Source organism: Homo sapiens, chromosome 11 (genome assembly GCF_000001405.40).
Source record: "Homo sapiens chromosome 11, GRCh38.p14 Primary Assembly".
Taxonomy (NCBI): Eukaryota; Metazoa; Chordata; class Mammalia; order Primates; family Hominidae; genus Homo; species Homo sapiens.
In genome coordinates, this window is record NC_000011.10 from 28,081,889 (window position 1) to 28,101,543 (window position 19,655).

At 34.3% G+C, this 19,655-nt stretch overlaps 1 protein-coding gene across 2 annotated transcripts in view; it reads right to left on the reverse strand.

Annotated features, from left to right (window-relative positions):
* KIF18A (kinesin family member 18A) overlaps positions 1-19,655 on the reverse strand; it is an 87,538-nt gene that overhangs the window by 61,270 nt on the left and 6,613 nt on the right. For both annotated transcript variants that reach the window (NM_031217.4, XM_017018379.2), the window contains exons 2-9: positions 15,735-16,105; positions 12,755-12,912; positions 9,521-9,625; positions 8,729-8,839; positions 6,636-6,833; positions 2,744-2,920; positions 1,281-1,355; positions 968-1,080 (exon numbers count right to left, since the gene is read on the reverse strand). In NM_031217.4, coding sequence (NP_112494.3) covers positions 968-1,080; positions 1,281-1,355; positions 2,744-2,920; positions 6,636-6,833; positions 8,729-8,839; positions 9,521-9,625; positions 12,755-12,912; positions 15,735-16,059 — 1,262 coding nt within the window. In that variant the 5' untranslated portion in view covers positions 16,060-16,105. The remainder of the gene's footprint in view (positions 1-967; positions 1,081-1,280; positions 1,356-2,743; positions 2,921-6,635; positions 6,834-8,728; positions 8,840-9,520; positions 9,626-12,754; positions 12,913-15,734; positions 16,106-19,655) is intronic.

Below are 19,655 nucleotides of genomic sequence, written 5' to 3' on the forward strand. Positions count from 1 at the left end.
AAAATATCAACATTAATAGGAATTTGGAGGAAGTAGATTCCAATCCTCATGGATAACTATGAGGGGTTCAAGATTTCAGTGAAGAAACTAACTGCAGATGTGGTGGACATGAAAGAGAACTAGAATTAGAAGTGGAGCCTGAAGACAGGACTGAATTGCTGCAATCTCATGATTAAACTTGAAGAAATGAAGAGCTGCTTCTATGGATAACCAAAGAAAATGGTTTCTTGAGAAAGTTTACCACCTACTCCCTATAAAGATGCTATCTACGTTGAAATAACAAAGGATTTAGAATATGACATAAATATAGCTGATAGAGCAGTGGCAAGGTTTGAAAAGATTGTCTCAAATTTTTAAAGAAGTTCTACCGTGGGTAAAATGCTATCAAAGAGCATCACACACTACAGATAAATCTTTCATGAAAGGACGAGTCAATCTATGCAGTAAACTTCATTGTTGCCTTATTTTCAGAAATTGTCACAGCCACTCCAACTTGCAGCAACCATTACTCTTACTAGTCAGATGCCATAAACATTGAGGGAAGACCTCCACCAGCAAAAAGATTATGACTTGCTGAAGGTTCAGATTATCATTAGCATGTTTTAGCAATAAAGTATGTCTAAAATTAAAGCAAGGCATTATCTTTTCAGATATAATGCTATTGCACACTTAATAGACTATAGTGTAGTGTAAACATAATTTTTATATGCACCGGAAAACCAAAACATTTGTGTGACTCATTTTATTATGATATTTCATTTATTGCAGTGGTCTGGAGAACTAAATCTGCAATATCTCTGAGTCAAGCCTGTTATGTATGTATGTATGTATGTGTGTATATATAAAATTATAAACATACATATCTATGTACATATAAAAGACATAACAAATGATAATTAACATAAAATACTTAACAAAATTTTAAAACAATAAATTCCTCAAAATTAGATCTTAATGTAATGTTTACCTTTCGATTTCTTTTTCCTGAGGGTTTGAAATCATTAACTTTGCTTGGTCATTTTCATTAGTGAAGGCTTTCTGTTCTTCATAGGCTTTTAGTTTTTCTTTTAACAATAAAATCTAGTAGAGAGAAATCACTAGTTAAAATACAAAAGAAGTCATTTACATGGCCACAGCCAAATTTAGCTGTAAAAAATAACTGAATTAACCAGATTTTAATTTTAATAGAAAAATATGTTAAATTTTTGGACAATTAAGATTATAAAATTCTATAAATGAAGAACTGCGCAAGACTAGCATAAAAATATAAACAGACATACCTCTGCCTTCTGCTCATTACAGATCTTTACATATTGAGTTATATGATTATTGACATTAAGAACATTGCTCTTCAACTGTTGAAAGATAGAAATTATGATTGTTTATAGAGAGATAATAATCACAGAGATAAATACATGAATAACATGACATTGCATTTTCATTGAGTTCCATGAATTCAGAATTTGTGATAATTATGCTCACATTTAAAATCTATGACAAGAGGATCTGCTGAGCACATTAATAATGTAAATGAAATTATAAAGAAATTACTTTATTGAGAAAAGGTATTTATAAGCATGTAATTGCAATATAATAAAATTCCCTACTTTCTTACTCCTTTGACTTCTAAGTAATGCAGAGATAGTTTTTCATGCTACCCTTTCAGGAATTCAGTTGGTTTTCACTGAGTTCTTACTATATTTTAACATTTTTATCATAGTATGGGCCCCTTGACATTTATGGTATAGTAGAGAGGATATTAAACATATAAATCCAAATACTTGATATTGAGACCTTGCCTACTTCTCACTTAACCTGACTTAGAATTCGAACTGTTTGATGTTTGGGTTACTCATCTGTAAAGTGGAGCTAAGAATTCATTCCTCAAGGGGCTAGTGTAAGGGCTACATGAAAATCATGTGTTACAAACCTTTCTGTACACCCATATAGTATGACCTTTTACAATTAATTATATAATGAGCCTGGGAACATTTTTCTTAAGATGACAATAACATGCTCATCTTCAGACACTTAAGGAGAGTGGCAGAGGGGAAAGGGAGAAGAGGAGGAGTCATCACAACAGCTTAACTCTAGGTTTTTTCAACCCCGATATATTATAATTTAAACATACATATTTTGATATACATGTTTTTAAGTACAACACATCTTTGGCAAAAATACTAATGTAACCAATTATTATTATTATATTTCTGGAGAAATACAGAGATTGGTACATCAACATCATGAATGTGGACTATAAATTATGTAGAAAAGACTTTTTAAAAAATAAGCTTTATACCTATTTTACAGATGAAATAATAGGCTTGGAAAGCTTAACTAACATATCCAAGATTTTCAGGTGAAAGTTTTGGTTCTCAGCTAAAGCAGAGCATCATCCTGGGCTGCAACAAATGTGTTCAAGTTTTGAGTGATTACTCCAAGATGCCATCCAAATACAATACGCCATGACATCAAAGAGGTTAGGGAGAAAGCCACTCAAGTACCATAGTACCCAAAAGATCGAATAATAGTATCTATTATATATATATATATATAATCAAGATGCTTTATGGTTTAACCGTCTAAATTAATGTTCGACTAAGCAGGTTAGCAAAGACCCTTCTAACCCTCAGCTGCCTAACTCATTATGTAGAAACATAACCTGAATTAATACTTTCATTACAATTATAAAAATCATATGCAGACAATACCTTCACAACAAAGGCAGAGTAAACAGACTTACAGAAGATTTAATGTCCTTTGCCCGGTTAGCATACTTAAGAGTGTTATATGTGTCATCGTAGAATACAGAGGAAGGACTAACAGCAGCTATCATTATAGTTTGACAGTTTCCTCCAAGAGAATCCTTTAACAAGCGAGTAAGCTTACTATTTCTGTAAGGGATATGCTGATTCTTTCTCTGAAAGCACAAAAAAGAGATCTTATGTCATTTTCCACATTTAAATGCAAACCTGCTACCACTTTAGCACTTCACTGTGGGGGGAGGATTACCTAGGTGCCGAGGCAAGAGACTGAAGGTATAAACTGTTTCAGTATAATGAAAAAAATAGCTAGAATAAGAATAGTCATAATACAACTTAGATATAGAGATGATCATGGACAATTATCAATCACTATTATAAACATTATTAATCATTAGCTTTTAATATTACTCTTTGTTGCATTACGAATATAACCTAGGAATAACCGGCGGGTATGGGGTCAGCTGCTGAAGGGACATTGTGAGAAGTGATCTAGAAGGCAAGAGGTGAGCCTTCTGTTATGCCGGCACAAACGCCGCTTGAGGGCTCCTTGGTCAAGTGGTAATGCCAGTGTCTGGGAAGACACCCATTACTTAGAAGACCGCGAAAGGGAGTCTCCTTTCCTTGGAGGAGTCAGGGAACACTCTGCTCCACCAGCTTCCTGTGGAAGGCTGGATATTATCCAGGCCTGCCCGCAGTCATCCGGAGGCCTAAACCCCTCCCTGTGGTGCTGTGCTTCAATGGTCATGCTCCTTGTCCACTTTCATGTTCCTCCTGTACTCCTGGTTCCTCTTTGAAGTTCACAGTAGACAGCAACAGAAGAAATAGTGAAAGTCTTAAAGTCTTTGATCTTTCTTATAAGTGCACAGAAGAAAACACGGATGTATGCGCCATCTCTCTCTCTGTTATCGGCTACCTAAGAGGGAAGGGTCCCCTGTCCTATGATCACGTGACTTGCCTCACCTTGTCAATCACTTAGAAGATTCACCCTCCTTACCCTGCCCCCTTGTCTTGTATGCAATAAATATCAGCGCGCCCAGCTGTTCGGGGCCACTACCGGTCTCCGTGTCTTGATGGTAGTGGTCCCCTGGGGCCCAGCTGTTTTCTCTTTATCTCTTTGTCTTGTGTCTTTATTTATTACAATCTCTCGTCTCCGCACACGGGGAGGACACCTGCCAAGTCCCGTAGGGCTTGACCCTACACTTCACTATAAGAACTTAAGCGCTACCCAATTTTATCCAGACTTATAATTGGTGATTGAGGTGATGACAAAGAATCTTACAGGATTATTCAGTGAATATATGAAACAAATATCATATTTAAAAATATCTGCATCTGAGTAAGTATGAACTTTAGTTCAAAATAAAATAATACATTAATATTGGTTCATTAGTTGTGATATATGTACCATATTAATATAAAAAATTAACAATAGGGAAAACCAGGTGTGGAGCATATTTAACAAAATCTGTATCATCTTAGTAACTTTTCTGTAAATCTAAAACTATTTGAAAATGTCTATTTAAAAATATTTCCAATCATTGAAAAAAATTAAAACACAAAAGTAAACAGATGTCCTATACAAATATACTAGAGGAATAATAACTGCATGGCTTAGAGCTACTTTTCTCCTTAAATAACCATCTAATATCGATATGAAATAAATTATAATTACAATGTTACAGACATTTCTCCTGAAATCACTATAGTGTTCTAAAAGAACCTAATACTTCAAGATTTTCTTTTACCTAAAAAGAAAAAAGTAAAAGTAACAAATAAATTTTGTTAAGTTTTGTTTCTGATTTTGAAGTAACAAATAAATTTTCCAGAAAGTAGAATGTTTATATAAGAACAGATTCTTTACAATGTTAAGCTAAAAGCAACCTAATGTTATCCAATGTATACCTTTCATATTGCAAAACAGGAAATTGAAGCTAAGCATAAAGTGAAATGATTTGACTAGGGTCACAAAGCTAGTAGTTCAAAGAGCCAGAAATAGGTCCTAGTTCCCCCAATTCTCAGTAGCAATGTGCTTCCACCATAGCAGTCTTTCCCAAACAGTGTGAAATATGCACTGCTGGTGCTATTTTAAGTGATTTTACATGTACAAGACATATATTAAACATTGACTCACAAATGACTCAATAGGAGTCATTATTAAAAAATTATAGATTAGTTCATATGGCAAAAATCTTATGAATGGCTTAAGTTTACAAAATCCGTCTCTGTGTCATGCTGTCTGCTTACAAGTTTGAGATTTTAACTCAGAATATAAAAGACATCTTGCTTTTGCAATCTTCATGTGATTTCAGTAATTTGCCTTTTTTTAAAAAAAAAACCTGCTCCAATTATTTTAATATACTTATTCTAAATCAAAGGTAACATTTTGAACAGTTTAACAAGCCAAAGCTTTTTTAAAAAAATTAAATTTAATTTTTTAATTATATTTTAAGTTCTGGGATACATGTGCAGAACGTGCAGGTTTCTTACATAGGTATACATGTGCCATGGTGGTTTGCTGCACCCATCAACCTGTAATCTACATTAGGTATTTCTCCTAATGCTATCCCTCCCCTAGCCCCCACACCCCCTGACAGGCCCTGCCTGGCGTGTAATGTTCCCCTCCCTGTGTCCATGTGTTCTCATTGTTCAACTCCCACTTATGAGTGAGAACCTGCTATGCAGTGTTTGGTTTTCTGTTCCTGTGTTAGTTTGCTGAAAATGATGGTTTCTAGCTTAATCCATGTGCCTGTAAAGGACATGAACTCATCCTTTTTCATGGCTGCATAGTATTGCATGGTGTATATGTGCCACATTTTCTTTATCTAGTCTATCATTGATGGGCATTTGGGTTGGTTTCAAGTCTTTGCTACTGTGAATAGTGCTGCAATAAACATAGGTGTGCATGTGTCTTTCTAGTAATGATTTATAATTCTTTGGGCGTATATACCCAGTAATGGGATGGCTGGGTCAAATGGTATTTCTGGTTCTAGATCCTTGAGGAATCGCCACACTGTCTTCCACAATGGTTCAACTAATTTACACTCCCACCAACAGTGTAAAAGTGTTCCTATTTCTCCACATCCTCTCCAGCATCTGTTGTTTCCTGACTTTTTAATGATCGCCATTCTAACTGGCATGAGATGGTATCTCATTGTGGTTTTGATTTGCATTTTTCTAATGACTAATGATGAGCTTTTCGAACAGTTTAACAAGCTAAAGCTTTCGAGTATGGTTTAACTTAAATTGCCATATTATAATTTTTTTGAAAGGATGTCATTTTTACAAATATCTATGTTGTGAAATACACTGTGTTCTAGGTAAGCACTTCTGGCATATGGTATATGTAAACTATATTTAAATATGCCCAGAAGCATCTAGTAAACATTACCTTATTAGGTGATTTCATGACATTTTATAACTTAAACCCCCCTTAAAAAAAAATCAACACTCTTTAATACTTAACCCTATTTTATAATATATAAAATACTAAACAACAGAATTTAGTTTTTAAAAATATGGTTAGTTTGTCTTCATGCCAATTTAATTAACATGTTTGCTGTGTAGTGATCACTTTAAAAACCAAGTTCAAAATAAGTGATGAGAATGTACCATAAAATATTAACTATCAATCTGGTATTCATTACTTTCTATTTAACCAATTCTCATTATAAAACTGGAAATTAAAAAAGAAATAAAAATCAGTTTAATACACTAGGTTTTCTGAGGTCTTTGATCTATATATTAACATTACTGATATACCCTTGAAATGTGATATATATCAGACCTTTAAAACAAAATCATATTAAATAGTATCTTTCTTATCTATTTCAATATTTCAAACTATTTAACAAATAAACATATAATGCCTACCTTTGAATCTGCTAAGGCATTGATGACATTCCCAAGAGCTAAAAGTGATCTATTAATATTTGTGCCTTCTACAAATCGGGTCCCCTTAGCACCGGAAGTACTTGCTCGCTCAGATCCTGCCAGGTCAATGAGTGACATCTTGGCAATACGGACATTTTGATTGATACTTGCTGTTTTGTCTTGTTGTCGCAAGTAAATCTTTTTGAAATTACAAAATAGAAAAAAATGAGGATAAGATTTAACAAAATTAAAAGGGAAATATATACTTTAATAGAGCACAAAATCAAAATTATTTTCATTTTAAAAAACAACTGAACAAGGTATAATCTAATTGATATTTAAGAGCACTATAAGTAATCACTATAGCTGAGAAAAATATAAAAATGAAAAGACTTTCTATATGTGTACCAGAGGAAAAATAACTCTTGACTTGATAGAAGATCAAAACTTCCATTTCTATTCTGGTACCCCTTGAACCAGGACATGGAATTATCAGAGGTGATGGTTAGAAACACAGGTCCTATAGAAATAACGTTCCTAAGAAAAAACCAAAGCTACTCGTTAGAATGCCTTGTATGTATCTAGAGATTGCCCCTCAAGGGAAGCTGAATTCGAATCTTGATCCAAACTGAAGAGTAAATTTATTCTAATCCCCCAAACCTGTATATGTCCTCATAATTAAAATATCATATATAAAAAAGATAGTACAGTCTTGCATCACTTAACAACACAGCTACTTTCTGAGAAATGCACTGTTAGGTGATTTCCTCATTGTGAAAATATCATAAATCAAACATGAGAGAAAATGATAAAATCCACAGACTTGGTAAACAGAATGTAGCAGACTGCTTTTGGGGTAATAAGTAGGAGCATACTCTAAAATAACAATAAAAAGTAAATACATAAACCAGTAACACAGTCATTTATTACCAAGTCTCATGTACTGTACATAATTGTATGTACTATATTTTCATATGACTGGCAGTGCAGGTTCGTTTACACCAACAACACCACAAACATTTGAGTAATGTGTTACGCCACGACATTATGATGAGTATGACATCACTAGATGAATAGGAACTTTTCAGCTCTGTTGTAATCTTATGGGACCACTGTTGTATATGTGGACTGTTGTTGACTGAAATGTCGTTATGCGGCACATGACTATACAGTAAAGTCTACTTGTCATTTTCAACTGCCTAGTAAAGCATAATTTATTCAAATATTTTAAGCTACTCTGTAAGGATTATCTGAACTACATTAGGTGGCAAACAAAAGATGAGGAAAGTAAGATATTACTTAATTATAAACCCATTTATTAAATTGTTTTATAAAGCAGGATCTAAGATATTTCAGAGACATCTCAGTTTCACAGAGAAACATTTCTCTCAAGACTATTAATAACCGAAGAGTTAGTGGTAAGAACAAAAAAGATTAATGAAATTTTTGTTGACCAGGGACTATATGAATGGTTTGATTGCCTTCAATATCAATTCTTTCAACTATAACAATTTCTTTCTTATAAGATGTATCTCAGATGGCATAATACTAAAAGAAGCTTTATATTATCATTTGGGTATTAAAAGGACTAGAAACTATAAGAAATAATAGCTATTAACCTATGCTTTAGCTCTTTCTGGAATTGTATTCCTAAGACTTACTGTGCCAACTGAATCATACTTCCTTAAGGAATGCGACTATTTACATGGTCCTTATGGTGAAATCTTTTAAAGATGAATCAGTATGTTCCCAAATTATTAGTTCTACAAGTCTAGATTTATAGAGATAAGTTTTACTGTGAATATAAGATTATTTATTGGAAAGATTAAATATTTTCAGCAAAAACAAAACTTTTATTACTACAACTTTATCCTCCTGTATGTTTACAAAGGTAGAAATTTTGTATTTTTGTTTTAAGCATCTCAATTATAAATACTCTTGGTGACAGAAACTTTTCAAAGCTATAAAGGAAAGTACTGACAAGTGAAGTCTACAGACAGATTTTTTTCACATGTATGAAAATGATGATTCATGAATTTAGCTTCATTTATTTTAAATCCAATTTTAAGAGTGATAGTCTAGTGGCCTCTTACTTGGAAAACAGCATGAGAACGAGAAGATGTGGCATTCATATCAGTGGGATGTTGTGTCCTGTTTTTGTTTCCATTATCCAATAAATGTAAAATTTCTTCTGAGGATTTGGGCTGGAGAAGTTTAAGTAGAAGCAAAATTTAAAAATCAGCAATATATCTTTAAATTTTTCAATAAATGTTCAAAAAACAAAAAGATTTAAAGGTAAAAGAAAATGTTTTCTATAAATTCAATCCTATTAAATACTAACTTTGTCTCATCTGCTTAGTATTGTGTGTGTTTATATGAAGAATAAAAGATAAAATCTAGTTTCTCAGGAGTGGAGTCTATTGAGTAGAATAATATGACATTAAATGTTCAAGCAGATTTTTGAAAGAAAAGCTCACTCATTGGGAGGCTGAGGCAGGCAGATCTTGAGCCCCAGAGTTTGAGACCAGCCTGAATAACATGGTGAACTCCCGCTTTCTACCAAAAATACAAAAATTAGCCAGTCTCATAGCCCGGTCACAAAATAAATAAATAAATAAATAAATAAATACATACATACATACATACATACATACATACATACGTAGATTAAAATTTAAAAATAAAATTTAAAAAATGTTTTTAAAAAGTTCACTCTATTTTAAAAGAAAACAAAATAAGACTAAAAATATACCCTAATCATTTAAATTCTGTACCTCATTAGTTTTTTTTCTCAAACAGGATGGAAAGTAAGTGCATGGCTGGTGAAAATAGCTTAATAGTCACATTTGCTATTCTAACAGGGAAAAAGATGTTTATATACATACCTGGTGTAAAGTAAGTCCATGAACGACCACCCCTTTTTGGGTATCTTCCCGGACAGCAAGTGGCCCTGAATTTACTAAGAGATCACGAATCTGTTCATTATATACCTTAAAATAAAAAGAACTGCTTTAGCATTGATGTAAAAAAAAAAAATGGTGATTACATCACACATACACTGCTAATTTAAAGTTATTAGAATTTTATCCTAAAGACAAGCAGCACCTCACTTTTATTCACCTCATACCTTCGATCTCATGTTGCCATTAATTTTCTATCATTCCAGAAAATTGAAGAGTTTGATTACCTAGGTTTGAAATTGAAACTTAAAGTTGGAGTCATCCCCTCACTCATAATTCCTGCCTTGATGACTATGGTGAAACAGAGATAAGTAAGATAGCTGAAGTGCATTTTCTTCTTTTCTTTTTTTTTGAGACGGAGTCTCGCTGTCTCCCAGGCTGGAGTACAGTGGCGCAATCTCGGCTCACTGCAAGCTCCGCCTCCCGGGTTCTCACCATTCTGCTGCCTCAGCCTCCCCAGTAGCTGGGACTACTGGCGCCTGCCACCACGCCTGGCTAATTTTTTGTATTTTTAGTGGAGACAGGGTTTCACCATGTTAGCCAGGATGGTCTTGATCTTCTGACCTCGTGATCCGCCCACCTCGGCCTCCCAAAGTGCTGGGATTACAGGCGTGAGCCACCGCGCCCGGCCCATTTTCTTATTTTCAGGAAATGTATGGAACACACGGTACTGGGAAACTCTGGGAAATGCAGGTTGTATGGAGATGGCATGGTTCTTACTGTGGAAGATATCTATTATTTCACAATGTCCAAGTAGTCCAAACTTTTGAAATTTTAGAGCTTAAATGTTACAGAAAACCCATACCAAGGACAGGTGGTATTTGTTTCGGTTATCCTTCAATTACATTAATTTTGACATATAATTACTAATAATAAATTTCAAAAGGAGACCCATTTGAATGATGAGGGAACTAAGACTCTGAGAGGTTAAATGATTTGTCCATGGTCATAAAGGTATTAGCAGAGTAGGAACTGGAGCCTAGACAGCTTCACTCTACTGCATCATACTGAATACATATCTGTAGTTTATATCTCTGGCCATTTTTTAAAAAGTAATTTTTATAAGTAACACACATTTCTATGTAGTACTAGTGACCCGATTTTATGAATTTATTAAAGGTATAAAGTTTATTACTTGCTAACCAAATGACAATTACAACTATTACTGACAAGATTTAAGAAAAAAAATAACAAAATTTAGTCTCTAAAAAATTATTTTGTGTTATTTCCTTCTGTGTTCTAATAAGTAGCTCATAGTGATAATTCATTGCTGGTACAATTCTCTACAATGAATGATAGGCATTAGAATGTAATAAACCCTTAAAAGTAGTAAAATGATAATATGAAGAAATATTTTTAAATCATATCTTTTTGATGAGCAGCAGTCACTTTACTATTGCTTCCCCTTACCCACTTCAATCATAACAAATCAAAAATTAGAATAATTGTTCTCAAGCTGGTCTATGTATGACACTCACCAAGGAGCATTTAAAAAACACAGATGCCTCAGCCACACCCCAGACCTACTAAATTAAAATATCCCAAGTGTGAGGCCTAGGCCTATTTTTAAAAAGTTCTATAGGCAATTCTGGTGCACAGCTTGAGTAGAAAACCATATTATACACTGCCTTATCATTAATAATATGAAAGTAGATTAAAAGAAAAAATAAAAATTGTGAAAATAACCAAACTTCAAAATTCTCCCAGTTATAAAAAGGATCTAAGGAAAAAATAATGAATGCTGGCACCCTCTTTTCCCAATTGAGTTCAGAACAATTCTTTTCATAGTTAACCAACCAAAGAAAATGAGTTTTACTTCTTTTTTATCTATAAGTTCTAATGAAGAAATTTTTAGCAACATATATGATTTTAATCAATCTTTGGAAGAAATTCTCAGTAGGGACCAAACTACAAGATGTTAATAAGAGAGAAATTTTATGGCACCAGAAATAAATAGGCAATGAAATCAGGGTTTTTATGTTTCTGCACTGGTTTCTGAAACACTATTTGAATGCAAAGTTAGAGTGTCTGCCACTTAGTTACCATTTGTTGACTATTAAGAGGGTAGAAGGCCTCAAAGAATGATGGGGTATTTCAAAAGGACACAAGAGACAACATGAAGAAGTCTCAACTAGCCAAATCTTACACAATTTGAACATACAAAAAATGATTACAGAAAGGGATTATAATCTATTCAATAAAGTAAAAATGCAGGAGGCTGATATAATAAGGGGAAAACTCTTCCTTATAGTAGAAAGTCAATAAAGAAATGTACAAGAAATGATGGAATTTAAAAATCACCATCATCTACCATCATAATAGTAATTGATTCAGTCACCAATCATCAGTGGATACTAATAACAATAGATAAAAGTTTGAGGAGTAAGGAATATTTACATTGTCTACATACATAGTACTTACTAATTATAAATGGTAAAACGTATCTTCAAAGTGGAGAAACTCTACAGACCACAGCATAATAAAACTGATCAAAGTTAACATTCCCAGTATGGGGACTAATCAACGGCTTAAGCCTTTTTTGATGCAGTAAGAAGTGAACATCACTTTGCTTGTGTTACTGTCAGTGCATAATCTGAATCTAATCATGATAAATCCAAACTAAGGATTTTTATGGCAGTGTTATAAAAGACAAAAAATTACAGATTAAGGAGACTAAGATATAACAACTGAATACAATTTTCTTTTACAATAAAGGGTATTAATGAAATAACTAGCAAAATCTCACTAAGATCTACAGATAATTATATTGTATCATTGCTAATTTCCTGATTTTGGTACCTATTTAGCAGTTATTTTTAAAAAGTCCTGTTTTTACAAGTCTGCAACCTAGCTCAGAAAGAAAGAAATGTATACACACACATAGAAAGCAAATGCAGTAAAATGCTAACATATGGGGGATCTGTATGAAGGGTATCTGGAAGTTCTTTGTACTATTGTTGCAACTTCTCTATAAGTCTGAAATTTTGCCAAAGTAAAAAAAAAAAAAATTAACAGAAAAAGATGCATAACAAATATTCAAGACAAGGAATTTTAATGATTTTATATATTCACCGGAAAACTCTTATATAATAAAATCATTTGTATGAATCATGTCAATGATTTCCCAAAACTATTGATTAATCTAAATTCCCAACTTACCTCCAGATATGAAACTGCAGTACTACATATTTTCTCTTCTTTAATCTCATCCATGCATTTGTAAAGGTGTAACATTGTTAGATACATCACTCCAGGTTCATCAGCTGATCCTAGCATAGTGTGGGTCTTCCCAGCACCAGTGGCACCATAGGCAAGTACTGAGTTTTTAAGAAAGGGATCAAAACTCTTTGTTATGAAATATAACTCTATTATATCTACTATCTAGTGGATAGTTCCATCTGGATATCCTGAACAGTATCTTTAAACCCTACAAATCCAAAATTATAGTCTTATCCTTAAAACCTGGGAATGTTACCACAAATCTACTCTTACTCCTATGTTCTTTACTCTGATAAATGGTATCACTACCCCCGGCCCCCCACTCTAACAACTACTCTTTCAAAGCAATCTTAAAATCTCCCTACAGATTAGTCTTCATCTTCCATCTTCTTTATCCTTTGCAATTTGTAGTCATCTTTATGAAAAAGAAATTGGAATACGTTAAACCTTCTTAATTGTTCCAGGTTTACATAAGTTCAAATTCCTCACTTTGGAATATTATAAAGCACTCAGAGGGTGCCTGCTTATTTTGCCAGCCTACTGCTTCCTTGCTGTGATCTAGGGATACTTAATTATTCAATACTCTCAGCATTTGCTGCTCCTTTCTACTCTGCTGTCTTTGTTCTGAGGAGTCCCTCTACTTGATCCAGCTGGAAAACTTCCACCTGCTTCTAAATGCTCAGCACAAATATCATTTTTCTCTGCCTTCCCTCATTGTCCTAGGCAGACACATCCACTCTTTCACTTCAGCCCTTAGTATATGCTGCATATCCACATCCCTCTCTTCTGGCATGTATCACACTGTATTTCCAATTGAGTGCTCCACCAAGGCAGAGGCCATGTATCCTTATCACCTAACAAATCACTTGCCACAAAGCAGGTACTTGAATAAATACCAGATAGATGCCATTTATAAGATTCCTTTTTAAGTTTTTGTTTTAGGTGAATTACTTTGTTTCCTAGATTCTATTCAGTACAAGAAAGTCATGTGAATTTCTTCCAATGTATAAAAAATCCACTCTGTGGGCCAGGCTCGGTGGCTCATCCCTACAATCCCAGTACTTTGGACAGCTAAGGTGGGAGGACTGCTTGAGCCCAGGAGTTTGAGACCAGCCTGGGCAACACAGTGAGACCCTGTATCCACAAAAATTTTCAAAAAATTAGCTGAGGGCAGTGGCTCATTCCTGTAGTCCAGCTATTCAGGAGGCTAAGATGGGAGGATTGCTTAAGCCCAGCAGGTTGAGGCTGCAGTGAGCTGTGATTGTACCAGCGCACTCCAGCCTGGGCAACACAGCAAGACTTCATCAAAAAAAAAAAAAAGACAAAGAAAAAGAAAAAAATCCACTCTGTGAATTACATATGGTAAATACCCAATACAATAATCAGTTAAGGCAATAACTTCTCATATCATTGCAGTGAGCTGTGATTGCACCAGCGCACTCCAGCCTGGGCAACACAGCAAGACTTCATCAAAAAAAAAAAAAAAAAAAAAAAGACAAAGAGAAAGAAAAAAATCCACTCTGTGAATTACATATGGTAAACACCCAATACAATAATCAGTTAAGGCAATAACTTCTCATATCATTATTGGTTGAAAATATTTTTATAAATTCAATCTGTCTGCTAAACCAAATGTTAACAAACCACAAAAATACTTTTCAGTAGGATGAATTAAGATGGTGTATATTTTACTTTGTTCTATTTTATGTAAGCTGGTATATAAGGAAGGTTTAAAATGGCTTATTCTTAAGCTTATTCTTAAGCTGTCTTAAAGACAGGGTAAGAATATAAAGAAAGCCAAAAAGAAACCAAAAATTCAATAGTAGTTTGATAGAGAGTCTACTTTTTTTCTTAGAGTTAAGAAGATTTCAAAATCTCTAGAGACATATGAAGTTTCATGAAAGAGGAAAAGAATATCTTCTTAAAAATGGGAATCACAGTAGTACCAATCAATAAACCACACTCCATCCTTACTTGATCAAGAGGGTATGTCTTCCATGATAAAACTGAAATGAATCAGGAAAAGACAGTGAAACATGTTATAGTTGTGAGCTGTCTTGGGGAAAATATCATAAATACTAATAATTACAAAAATAAGATATTAATAATGGTGTTTAGTGCCTGGTAGGCACTGAAAAACTGGCCATTTTGCATCTTGGGTATCTCTCTCTCTCTCTCTCTTTTTTTTTTTTTAAAAAGGAAATCAACATGGCTTTCTTGAAAGGCCAAAAAAAGCACTAAAGATGCTTCTTGGGCTAACAATGAGCTAAAGGGCATGAGATAATTAACATGGGATCTTAACACTTTTACCCCCTTTCCAATTTTTATTTTAGGTTTGGGGGTACAGTGCAGGTTTGTTACATGGGTAAATTGCATGCTGCGGGGTTTAGTGTACAGATTTTTTCATCACTCAGGTAAGGAGTGTAGTACCCCATAGGTAGTTTTTTGATCCTCAGTCTCCTCCTATCCTTCGCCAACTTAAACATTTTTATTTCAATGTGCCATGAAGAAAAACTGCTGAAAAGAAACTGTCAAATGTTCAGAAATGTCTGACTACTCTCCAGGAATAGATAATTACATAGGTAAGCTGTAGGAAAAGTTATAAATACAGGTTATGAGAAAACTGATGTTAATTGCAATAAGCATGTGGTTTAATAACATAGGCAACTGAAAGGACAGATGTCTATAGGGGCCACAGTAAGGCCCTGGAAGAGAAAGGTTTACAAATGATGTATAAGTTATATATGATAACTAAAATTTCAAAGTCTATATTTACAGTTCAAGTCTATTGAATTTCTTAAGAATTTTTAGCATACAAGCTCCTTAAATTTGATTATATTTAGAAGGGTCAAGTAGATGTCCGTCCTAATGCAAAAGTGAAATCGGATAGAGAAATTAAATCCCAAATTGAAACAAATACCTGTGCAATTATATCCATTCAAAAAACTACGAAGAATTGGCTTAGTAGTGTGTTCAAAAACTTCTGACTGAGTTGACGTTTCATCAAAAACAGCATCAAATACAAATTTAAGATCCTTATTTTGTTTCTTTATAACATTTTGATTTGTAGTTTTCTTTCCATGGAAAAAACTGACTTCTTCTTGTTTGGGATCAAAAACTAGGATATGTTTATCCACAACATGAACCACTTTATGAAATCCAGCTGCTTTTTCTTTAGTGTTTTCCGGACGTACACGAACTACTACTTTCATATGGTGGCACAGGTCTTCCTCAGTGACAGACATTGTTGATTATCTTGATTCCTATCTGTATAAATACTTGAATACTTCTCTGAAATTAAAAAAGAAAATAAAGTTTTAATATCAGTTTTTACTTTCATGCAAAACAACTGGCATGTAGTATTCATTCAAAAAAGATGTTAATAATTCTGTTTCACTCACTAGGTAAACACTGGGGGAAAAATACATACATACGTAGGCACACACAACACACACACACAAATATATGCACACATACACACATATGCACTTAAGTACCCTAAAACAAACAATTAAATGGCACATACGTACACACAACTACGATAAAAATCTCTTTACCTGAAATATTAGTAGGATATTTGGCTTAAACTCAAATACTATAGCTGAACCATATATAATCACAGATATGCTATCCTAAAACCCAGATTTGATTTTCACAAGCCCTCCAGCACTATTTCAGCTTAGGTCATGGGAATGAATAGAAAAGGATCTCCCAGAACCATATCAAGGTATGATTGGAGAGCCTTAGCTTGTGAACTATTTTTAGTAAAAGTGATCTTGGCTGCAAGCCCCTTGGCCGTGGAAAGTGATACACCCAGGCTGGTCTCTACCTGTATCTCAGAAGCCCATAGGGTTAAAAATAGTTCCAAGGATGCATTCAACTAGATAGCTCAGGTCTGAAGGTGATAGAGATGGCATAGACTCCTTGGTGTATTCAGAGACCTAGTCTCTGAATATTGATCCTACTCTCTGCTTTCTAATTGTGTGCAAGTTTAAGGAATCAATGATAGCAGGTTTAAAAATTATGGTCTGATTTTATGACTGGTTCACATGCAAAGAAGAAAAGTAAAGTAACAAAGATCAATAATTTGGAAGTCTCAACTATCCAGAAAATACTCTAGAATCTGCAGACCCAAAAACCAAAACAAAAAAACAAACAACAACAACAACAAAAAGACAAAAAAAAACCAAACCACAAAACAAAATAAAACACCCCAAAACAACAAGATCTGAGTAAGGACCAAAAGGTGAGACTTAGGACGATCCTGCAATCCCACTTCTGAGTATATATCCAAAGGAATTAAAATCAGTATGTTGAAGAGATATTTGCCCTGCCATGTTCGCTACAACATTATTCACAATAACTAAGATATATAAACAATCTAAGTGCCTATCAACAGATAAATAGATCGAAAAAATGTGGTATATGCACTCAATGAAATACTATTCAGCCTTAAAAAAGACTAAAATTCTGTCATTTATGACGACATGAATGAATCTAGGGGGCATTATGCTAAGTAAAATAAGCCAGGTACAAAAAGACAAATATCACATGATCTCACTTTTATGCAGAATCTAAAAATATGAACACAGAGAAGTAGAGTAATGGTTACCAGAGGCTGAGGAGGGTGGGGTGGGTGGTAAAAGGGGAAATGTTGGTCAAAGGGTACAAAGTTTCAGTTATACAAGAGGAATAGTTTTGGTGATCTATTGCACAGCAAGGTGACCATGGTTAATTGCTAAGAGTACATTTTAAATGTTCTCACAACAAAAAAATGGTATGTGAGGTGATGGATATGTTAATTAATTAGCCTGATATGCTCATTCCACTGTGTACACATGTATCAAAACATTACATTGTATCCTATAAACTTACACATTTTTTTTGTCATTTGTAAGTTAAAATAAAAGAGACAAAAATAATAAATTCACCCAAAACAACATTTAAGTAAGGACTTGAAGGAGGTGAGGGAGTTAGTCATACAGGTATTGTAGGAAGCTTTTCCCCATAGAGAGAAGGACCCAGGGTGCTACTTTATGTTGGCCAGAATGGAGTGAGCAAAGGGGAGTGTAGTAAGACATGAGAGGAGAAATGGAGGCCATTAAAAGAACTTTGGCTTGTACTCTGAGTAAGACAAAGAACAACTGGAAGTCGTTTTGAGCACAGGAGTGACATAATCTATCACTCTCACTGCTATGTGGATAATATAATAGACTAGTCTATTGAAGTAATGTAGACAAGAGACAACTCTGTCAGCTCAGAATAGGGTAGTGGCAGCAGAGGTGGTAAGTGGTCAGATTATGGGTGTATTCTGAGGGTAAAGGTGACAGAATTTACTGACAGGTAGATGTAGAGTGAAAGAGAGAGACAGGATTGAAGAATAACTCCAAGGTTTTTGGCTTGAGAATTAGAAGGATAAAGTAGTCACCAACTGAGATGGAAATAAGAAGCAGGGCTTTTTTCAGCAGGGCGGGAAGTGGTGGGAGGCAGGGTCAGATCAGTTCAGTTTTGGATAGCTTAAGTCTCAGAGTTTTGACAGACATCCAGGTGGAAATGTCAGGGCAGGTGGAAGTTAAGAAAATAAGAAAATAAAGGCTGTCCTCAGTCTTAATGCAGTATTAAGCTTTAAAAACTTTCGGGAAATCCTAAATGAAGGAGGAAACAGCGATCTATTGTGTTAAATACTGCTAATAGGTCAAGTACTTACTGAGAATTAACCATGGGATTTACTAACACAGAGGCCATCGAGAAAAGCAATTTTGGGGCAGTAGTGGGGAAAAAACCCGAAAGGAGAAGATCCATAGACAAGGTATATGGAAAGGACTGTTTCAAAGGGAGGAGAAAAATGGTGTGAGTGAAGGGGGGGGGTGGTGTCAAGATGTTTTGTTTGTATTTTTTTTTAAATGGGAGAAATAGCAATATTCAAGCTGAAATATGTCACAAAACCACTTAGCCATATACTTTCGGACAGAATTCAAATAAGGACAGAATTCAAAGGAATCTAAAAGCAGTAGATGCTAGACATATCTTTGCCTTTTTAGGACTCTGTCTTTGGCCAAAAATAGAATACTGAAAAGGAAGGGATGGTCATTTGGATTCTAAGTCAGGTCCCAGGTGAATTACTACTTTGTTTTTCATCCCTGAGCTTCCGTCTAGCCAAGTGTCACAAAGCACCTACACCTCACTTTTATGACCTTGGACAAGTTACTTAACCCCATGAGTCTCAGGTTTCTATTTGTATAAAAGAGATAATAATACCTCAATGTTTGTTGCAAAGGCTAAAAGGGGTAAGTATTAAGGTATTCAGTAAATACCAATTCTCTTCCTATCTGCCCCACTCCTGCTTCTTCTTGCCAAAGAGACTGAGTTCATCTTTTGAGTTTTTCTCAATGGGCTTATGACTAGCACTTTGGGTAGGCCAATTCTTCCTTGCTTAGAACTGCCCTGTTATAGGGCATTTAGAACTGCCCTATTAGAGGATGTTTGGCATTTCTCTCCCCTGTCTATTAAAGGCCAGCAGTGTCCCATATTCCTTGTGATAACAAAAACTATCTCCTATACACATTTCTAAAAGCTTTTAGAAATATTCAACAATATTTTAACAGATATACTATTTTTAAATGATAGATTAAATATACATAAATGAAATTGTTAACAAAGTAAACATAAAATACTAAGTGATTATTTCAAAATAAACCTTAGAATCTCAAGGCTGGAGGATATCCCTCCCTAATTAATTAGTTAATTAATTCATGACAACTATTACATGTTGGAGCCAGGCAGCCTAGGTTAAAATCTCAGCTCTATGACGTACTGACTGTGATAGTGGATAAGTTACTTA